The 7,872-nt window shown below is 38.4% G+C and overlaps 1 long non-coding RNA gene across 1 annotated transcript; it reads right to left on the reverse strand.

Annotated features, from left to right (window-relative positions):
* Window positions 1-2,507: 2,507 nt before the first annotated feature.
* LOC124900790 (uncharacterized) lies at window positions 2,508-7,169 on the reverse strand. The gene is made up of 2 exons (XR_007058288.1): window positions 7,084-7,169; window positions 2,508-3,095 (listed from the first exon to the last, which is right to left on the reverse strand). It is a non-coding gene; the product is annotated as an uncharacterized LOC124900790 (long non-coding RNA).

The following is a 7,872-nucleotide window of genomic DNA, read 5'->3' on the forward strand; positions in this document are numbered from 1 at the left end:
AGCTTGGAAATCCATGGCCCTAAATTTGAACAGGCATTCCTGTTTTCACACCTTAATGTTGCTTTTTGGCCTGCCACGCCCCCCATCCTATACCCATGTAAACCCTAAACCTCAGGCTCCATGAGCAGAAGATCAGAGGAGCAGAAGAGTGGTGCAGCAGAGAAGGAGAGAAGAGAAGGAATGTCTAAATGTCAAGAGGAGTTCAGCTGGGGACAGTTGGAGAGGAGATAGGCCATGGAAGAGCCAAACTCTAGGGGAAGATCATCTTTCCACTCCATCCCCTTTCCAGCTCTCCATCCATCCCACTGACAGCCACCTCCACCACTCAATAAAAGTCCCATATTCACCATCCTTCAAGTCTGTGTGTGACCTGATTCTTCCTGGACACCGGACAAGGATCTGGATACCAAGAGGTCACTGAGCTGATTAACACTTAAGCCATCTGTGGACAGCAGAGCTAAGAGGCACTGTAACATGCGCACTGGGGCTTTGGGAGTTGCAGACACCCACCCTTAGATCCTACCATGGGGCTGGAGCCCAAAAGCACTTTCTCCAGCTCTTGCACCTGCCTATCTGCATGCTCTCCCTCCCATAAGGGGTTTGAGCTCATGGTGCCCAAACAGAAAAACCACACCCGTGTTGCATGTCCTGTGAGTTGGGGGTCAGGGAACTCTCCTGTTTCAACATGTTAAACGAGGGGTGGATTATTCATGCCTCCCCTTTTTAGACCATATAGGGTAACTTCTGGACGTTGCCATGGCATTTGTAAACTGTCATGGTGCTGTTGGGAGTATAGCAGTTAGGACAACCAGAGGTCAGATTACCATCTTGGTTTTGGTGGGTTTTGGCCAGCTTCTTGACTGCAACTTGTTTTATCAGCAAGGTCTTTATAACCTGTATCTTGTGCCAACCTCCCATCTCATCTTGTGACTTAGAATGCCTAACTGCCTGGGAATGCAGCCCAGCAGGTCTCAGCCTTATTTTACCAGGCCCCTATCCAAGATGGAGGCACTCTGGTTCAAATGCCTCTGACATTATTTCCAAGATGATTCCTTTTTGTCATTACGTAGCAGCCTCTTTATCTTTGAAAATGCTTTATCTATCATCTATTGTATTTGTTATTAATATAGCTACATGAAATTTCTGTATTTTTACAGCCTCTTTACCTATTTATTGACATATAATACCCATACAATAAAGAGCATGTAAGGCACTGATCTTAAGAATAGAGTTTGATAATTTTTTTCTAATGTATACAGCCATGTACCCACCACCCAGATCAAGATCGAGAATATTGCCAACATCAAAGGAAGTCACTAGCATTATTTCAGTTGTTATTTTCCTCAGACATCTTTTTTTTCCATCCCTTACTTTCAGCTTATCTATTTATGTTTTAAAAATTTTACTTTCAAACAGTAGGTGACTTTTAGTAAAGTTACAGTACATTGATTGATTGATTGATTGTTACCTTAAAACCCAAGCCACTAAGTATCAACAACATCCTCTGTTCCTATTTTCCCCTCAAATAAAAGTAGACTTACCATGTGTTTAGAGTTTCTGTGTCTGCCAAGGGAGTCTTTAATTGCTAAAACTAAAAGACTTTATCCATATTTTCTTTTAGTGCTTTCCTGTTTTTATTTTAGTATCTTAACCTTAATTATGTGAAATATTTTATGTTGTAAAGAATGAGTAGTAGAGATCCATTTTTTTCTTCTTGAGTATCTGACAAGTTTTCTGAATATGGTAAACAATCTATCTTTTTATATTGATTTGAAAGCTGCTTTCTTCATGACACTAAATTATTACATGTATTTGAATTTACAAATGAATTGTTATATTTCACTTATCTGAATATATATTTCTTTACCCAGAATGTTCCTTCAATTAATGCTTAATATAACTCTATATTATAATTCCTGGCTGAAGAAGTTCCCACTCATTGTTCTTCATTTTCATAATTTTTCTGACTATTAACACACATTTATTCTTCTAGATGGAGGCTGTTCAACCTTGGCACTATTGATATTTTGGACTGGATAAATAGAAATCTGTAGTGGGATCCTTCTAATTTCCTCTACTTTCTTTTTGTAGCTCTGTTTGGTGCCCTCAGGTGGGAATGCTATGCCAACTCTCCAGTACCTTCTTTCTTTTTGGCCCAAAGCAGATATTCTGCAGAGTTTCTTGTATGAGGTTGTGTTGTTTCTTAAATTTCAGAGTAGATTGTTGTTTATTTTATACTTTTCTTCATTCTCTTTCTTCATTTAAGCAGATTTCAAATAGATGGAATTTGTAAATATTTTCTCAAGCCTCCATCTTCTCATTTTAAATTTCTTTAAGAAACATTTAAATTACCATTTTCACTTATCTGTTTTTAATTGCTCTGCTATTGTTTGATATTTACAAGTGATTTATTATTTTATCCTTTTTATTAGGTAAGAGGTGTTAATGGTGAGTTTGAGATTGATAGGAGCTATTTTGTTAGAAATAAATGAGGAACTGTTGCAAGAATGGACTGTAATTTTTACATTTTATTCAATTGTTTTGGTTTCTTACATCCTTATGACACTTTCCTTAGTGTTTAACACAAACAACTAAAGTAAAATAACTGCCATATCTCTCCTTGCAGTTTTGCAAACAGCTCTTTTTATAAGAACTGTGATTGCCTCTAGCAAGCAGTCTCAAGTACTTGATATATAAACACATTATTGCCCCTTTTCTTCACACTTGAAGTTTGTAGAATAAACCACTAAAAATATCACAGTATCTGAGGAGAAAGGACCTCTCCAGATGATGTTTTCTTACCTGGGGCCAATATGTGCACCATAGAGTCCCCTCTATCTGCCATAAAACTTTGTTTATTGCTTTAATCAATCTTCACATGGTAGGACGATACAGGCAAAAGCTGAGGTCTTCCTATACATCTCTTTCAAAGTTTTCCTTCAAGACCATTTTGCTTTTGGTCACTTTTTCTTTATATTTTCAGCAGCAGTTATTTATTTCATTTCATTCTATTTGACCCATCCAAATGTTTAACATGGTTTTATAAAAGTAACTTTATTTTTAGCTTGTCTGTAGATTCAATTTTCTTGTAGTTGCTGGTATAAGTAATAGGGAAAAATGTATCAGTCTTATACAATAAAGAAGTTCAGATGAGTGTGTGATATAGGAAGAAGCAATCGGTATGTAACAACATATGTCTGCCTGCTACGCTTTTAATACTTGTTAGAGTTTTAGTTTCTATGAGTATCTTGGAGGTGCTGGAATATATATGCAAATTTCCTTCTAAAAGATTGCACCAAGTTACATTACCATAACAACAATAAGAATTTACTGCAGCCTTAGCACATTGGATATTATCTTAGAAATACCACTTTGTAGGTTTCATAGATAATGGATAAATTTTCTGTTGTTTTAATTTACATTTTAAAAGGAGTGAGGTTGAAAATGATGCAATTTGAAATGCATGTGCATAAGAAGTTGAATAGAAGTTTATTGGTCAGAATGTGAAATGAGTTTTGAACAAGTTAAATGTTTTGAAAAACAGTATGAATGTACTGAATACTTTTGAGGTGTGATCTTCTAATTGCTCTAGCAAATTGAATTGGTCATGAGAAAACGTTTGAATTTTTCCAGTCAGTCAGTCATTGTATTAGTTCATTCCCATGCTGCTATAAAGAAGTGCCTGAGACTGGGTAATTTATAAAGGAAAGAAGTTTAATTGACTCACAATTCTGCGTGGCTGAGAAGGTTTCAGGAAACTTACAATCGTGGCAGAAGGGGAAGCAAACACATCCTTTTTCACATGATGGCAAAAGTAAATGGGGAAGCCCCTTATAAAACCATCAGATTTCATGAGAATTTGCTCACTATCATGAAAATAGCATGGGGGAAACTGCCACAATGATTCAATTACCTCCCACTACATTCCTCCCACAACACGTGGGGATTGTGGGAACTACAATTCAAGAGGAGATTTGGGTGGGGACACAGCCAAACCACATCACTATGCCCCTGACCCCTCCCAAATCTCATGTCCTCACATTTCAAAACACAATCATGCCTTCCAAACAGTCCCCCAAAGTCTAAACTCATTCCAGCATTAACTCAAAAGTCCAAGTCCAAAGTCTCATCTGAGACAAGGCAAGTCCCTTCCACCTATGAGCCTGTAAAATCAAAAGCAAGTTAGTTACTTCCTAGATACAATGAGGGTATAGGCAATGGGTAAATGCACCCACTCTAAATAGGAGCAATTGGCCAAAAACAGGGGCTACAGGCCCATGCAAGTCTGAAATCCAGTGGGGCAGTAATTAAATCTTAAAGCACCTTAATAATCTCTTTGGACTCCATGTCTCACATCCAGTTAATGCTGATGCAAGAGGTGGGCTCCCACAGTCTTGGGAAGCTCCGCTCCTGTGGCTTTGCATAGTACAACCCCGCTCTCGGCTGCTTTCACAGGCTGTCTGTTATCCAGTTCCAAAGTCACTTCTGCATTTTTAGGTATCCTTATAGCAGCACCCCACCTCTAGTACCAACTTACTGTATTAGTCTGTTCTCATGCTGCTATAAAAAACTGCCCAAGACTGTGTAATTTATAAAGGAAAGAGGTTTAGTTGATCTACAGTTTTGCATGGCTTGGAAGGTCTTAGGATACTTACAATCATGACCAAAGGGGAAACAAACACATCTTTCTTACATAGTGGCAGGAAGGAGAAGAATGAGAGCTGAGTGAAGGGGGAAGCTCCTTTATAAAACTATCAGATTATGTGAGAATTTACTCACTATCATGAGAATAGCACAGGGGAAACCACCGCAATGATTCAAGTACCTCCCACTGGGTTCCTCCCATGACATGTGGGGATTATTGGAACTACAATTCAAGATGAGATTTGAGTGGGAACACAGTCAAACCATATTAGTCATTCCACATATTGAGTGATTTCTCTCTTCTATTCACTATTCTTCCACAGAGAGGGACCCATAGTCATTACCTTCAAGGAACCTAAATCCTGGCATCTTTATTGTTATGGGTGGTGTATAATATACAGGTAAGCCAATGTTACAGGATGTTGTGAGACTATTCCTATCCTTCCATAATTAGCCACTAGGACCACAGCTGAAACCAAGAGGCACTGATTACCCCCTCACTCTAAAGAGAATTACTGAGCTTGTGCTCACTGCGGGGGCCAGATCTTTTTGCAGGGCTATGTTAGGCTTTACACAATGTGACCCTCTAGTCTGTACAAGGAGAGGAATGCAGAGGGGAAGAGATTCACTGGAGTCTCTCGTCAGTGACCTGGTGGTGAATATATGGTAATGGGTAAATCCCACTTCACCTGATGAAGAAAAGGAGAAGGATGCACTTCATTCTTAGAATCTAAGCAGGAACGGGAAAGGGAAAATTAGGAGAAAAGCTTACAAAGACTGTAAATGCCTTCAAGAAGGTGAGAGAAACTAATATTTGGTTTACTGTCAGCAGGCTGTTCGGGCGGCATTTTGCCAATATAGCCCTATCCCTACGTGAGTAGGGGAAGGGAATTGTGGTTGGACAACAGAGTTCTGAGAAAGGCAGTGATTGAGCAGCTGAACTCCATCCATTTGGTGGGTAAGGACCCCAGAGTATTCAAAGTATCAAATGGAATGTGACTGAAGTGTTATCTTGCTGATGTTACCCAGGAAAACTGTCCCCTAGGCAAGGGGACACCAAACACAAAGAGGCACGGGATAAGGATTTCGTGACGAGAATTGGGCAGAACTGGAGTTTAATCCCCATGTCATGGTAAGGCCCTCTGAAATTCTCTCTACACCTTTGAGACACTCAGCATTTAGATTCTGACTCCTAGAGTCCCTTAGTGGTCAGTCAATGTAAGCCAAGTTAGTAGCTACAGCCGTTAGGCACACGATTACACTGTGAACAGTGAAGTAAAAAATGTCCTTTCTTTGCTTTCTTTCTCTAATCCCAATCCCAGAGGCATGAAAACCTAGAAAAAAGAAAGTAGCTGTATAGCTTTCATTTACATATAAGATTGGTGTTTTGAAATTTTAATAACAAAAAAGACCAGAAAGTTTCGTATCTCCCCAAGATGTTTCTAGGGAATAGAAATAAGAAATAGGAAAAGTACATTCCATGCAGTATGAGCAAATTTAAAGAATTAATTTTTTTTACCCTACTGAATTGAGACTTGCCAATAACCAGTTATACACATAAAGAGGGTAGTCTTGGGAGCTGAGTGCTATGAAAAAAATACAGGAAGAAAATGAAAGAGAAATTAATGGGAAGGAAGGAAGAAGACTACAAGCTGCTTTGCGTTGGGTAGGCAGGGAAGACCTATTTCATTCAATGAAATCTTACTGAGTTTTCCTGTGTTCTAGCCATTATTCTGGGCTCTGAGGATGCATAGTAAACAAAGCAGATGAAAAATACTGTCATCAGAATTTTCTTTGAAGGTGTGAGACAGGAATAATATGGAGGCAGTCAAGCAAAGATATGAAGCAAAAAAAGGAGAAAAAATTAGAACAAAGTTCCTAAGAAAGGAGCAAGCTTAGTATGTTGGAGTTTTGGGGAAAAGTTCAGTGGTTGCAACCTAAAGACAGGAGAGAGTGGGAGCAGGTTGAGAGGGGCAGGCCAGGTGACCTGAGCATGTGGACAGGTCAGAACTTCAGAGAGCATGCTAACAAGTGGTGATTTTATTCTGGTGCAGTGAAAAACCTACTGGAGATTTTAAGTAGGAGAAATACATGATCTAATTGATAGTTTGAAAAAATTGCTCTGTGAAGGAGGGAATATAAAAAACAAGAGTAGAGACAGCGAGACAAGCTGTGGGGGTGTTACTATATTCCATGCCATCTCATCCATTCTTTTTAGTAAGAATAAATGCTGCTGGTCACCTTTTAGTGATTTCTTTTTAAAATTTCAAAATATTCAGAGATGGGGATACTTTAATCTGAGGACATTAAAATATTCACCATTTTTATGCTTTGGTAGGCCTAGAAAATGTTTAATAGACTTAGGTAAGACTTATATTAAACTGATTACTTTTGATTTAAAGGTAATAGCGTTCAGCTGAGAATGGAAATAATTTTCACCTGGTTGGCAATATTTGCAATCACTTCTGAACCTTCAGTTTTATCCAGTTGAATAATACAGGTCTAAAATTTCCTTTATTTGCTTTTGTCAGAGCAAATTATGTTACCAATAATACCACCTACAAGAGAGAAGAGCCATGAGAAGGGTCAAGGACAATCTATGAGTAACTTAAGTGGAGGCTGATATAACATATTCTCTAATATATGATGCTCTGATTGCATTTGACAAGACCATTTGGAAGAGACCCAGATGGAGACAACAATTCTAGTTAATATGCTCCATTGAGTGATGTTCATCAGCTGATTCTGGAACTCAGGCTGAACTCTAGTCATAAAATTTGGAAAGAAGGCAGTTTGAGAAATGGTATATTCTTCACTGCGAAATGATTGACCTGAGCATGAAATCAATTCTAAAAATAACTAAGGGGCAGATAAGTTCATGACCAAGCTTATAAAAATGAGAACCACTCAAAAGATCTCCAGTTTTATTCCTAAACCTATCTGTGCTGAAGAACTTTTTGGATGCTTCCCACAGGACTGAAATTCCTGCCTCTAATTTGGACAATGACAGTTCTCTGTAATCCACAATTGAATGGTCACTGGAACATGTTAGACATGCAACATAGTCAAAGAATGCATAGATTAGGGTAACTATGTCAATTATAAGTAAAACCCCATGTAGACTAATGTAACTCTATCTGTTAGGGAGATGTGTGCTAGCAACTGTCTTGTTGCAATATGTATATATGTATATATATATTTAGTTTTGAAAAAGTTAATGGCTTTTGT

This window comes from Homo sapiens, chromosome 4, assembly GCF_000001405.40.
Source record: "Homo sapiens chromosome 4, GRCh38.p14 Primary Assembly".
Classification (NCBI taxonomy): Eukaryota; Metazoa; Chordata; class Mammalia; order Primates; family Hominidae; genus Homo; species Homo sapiens.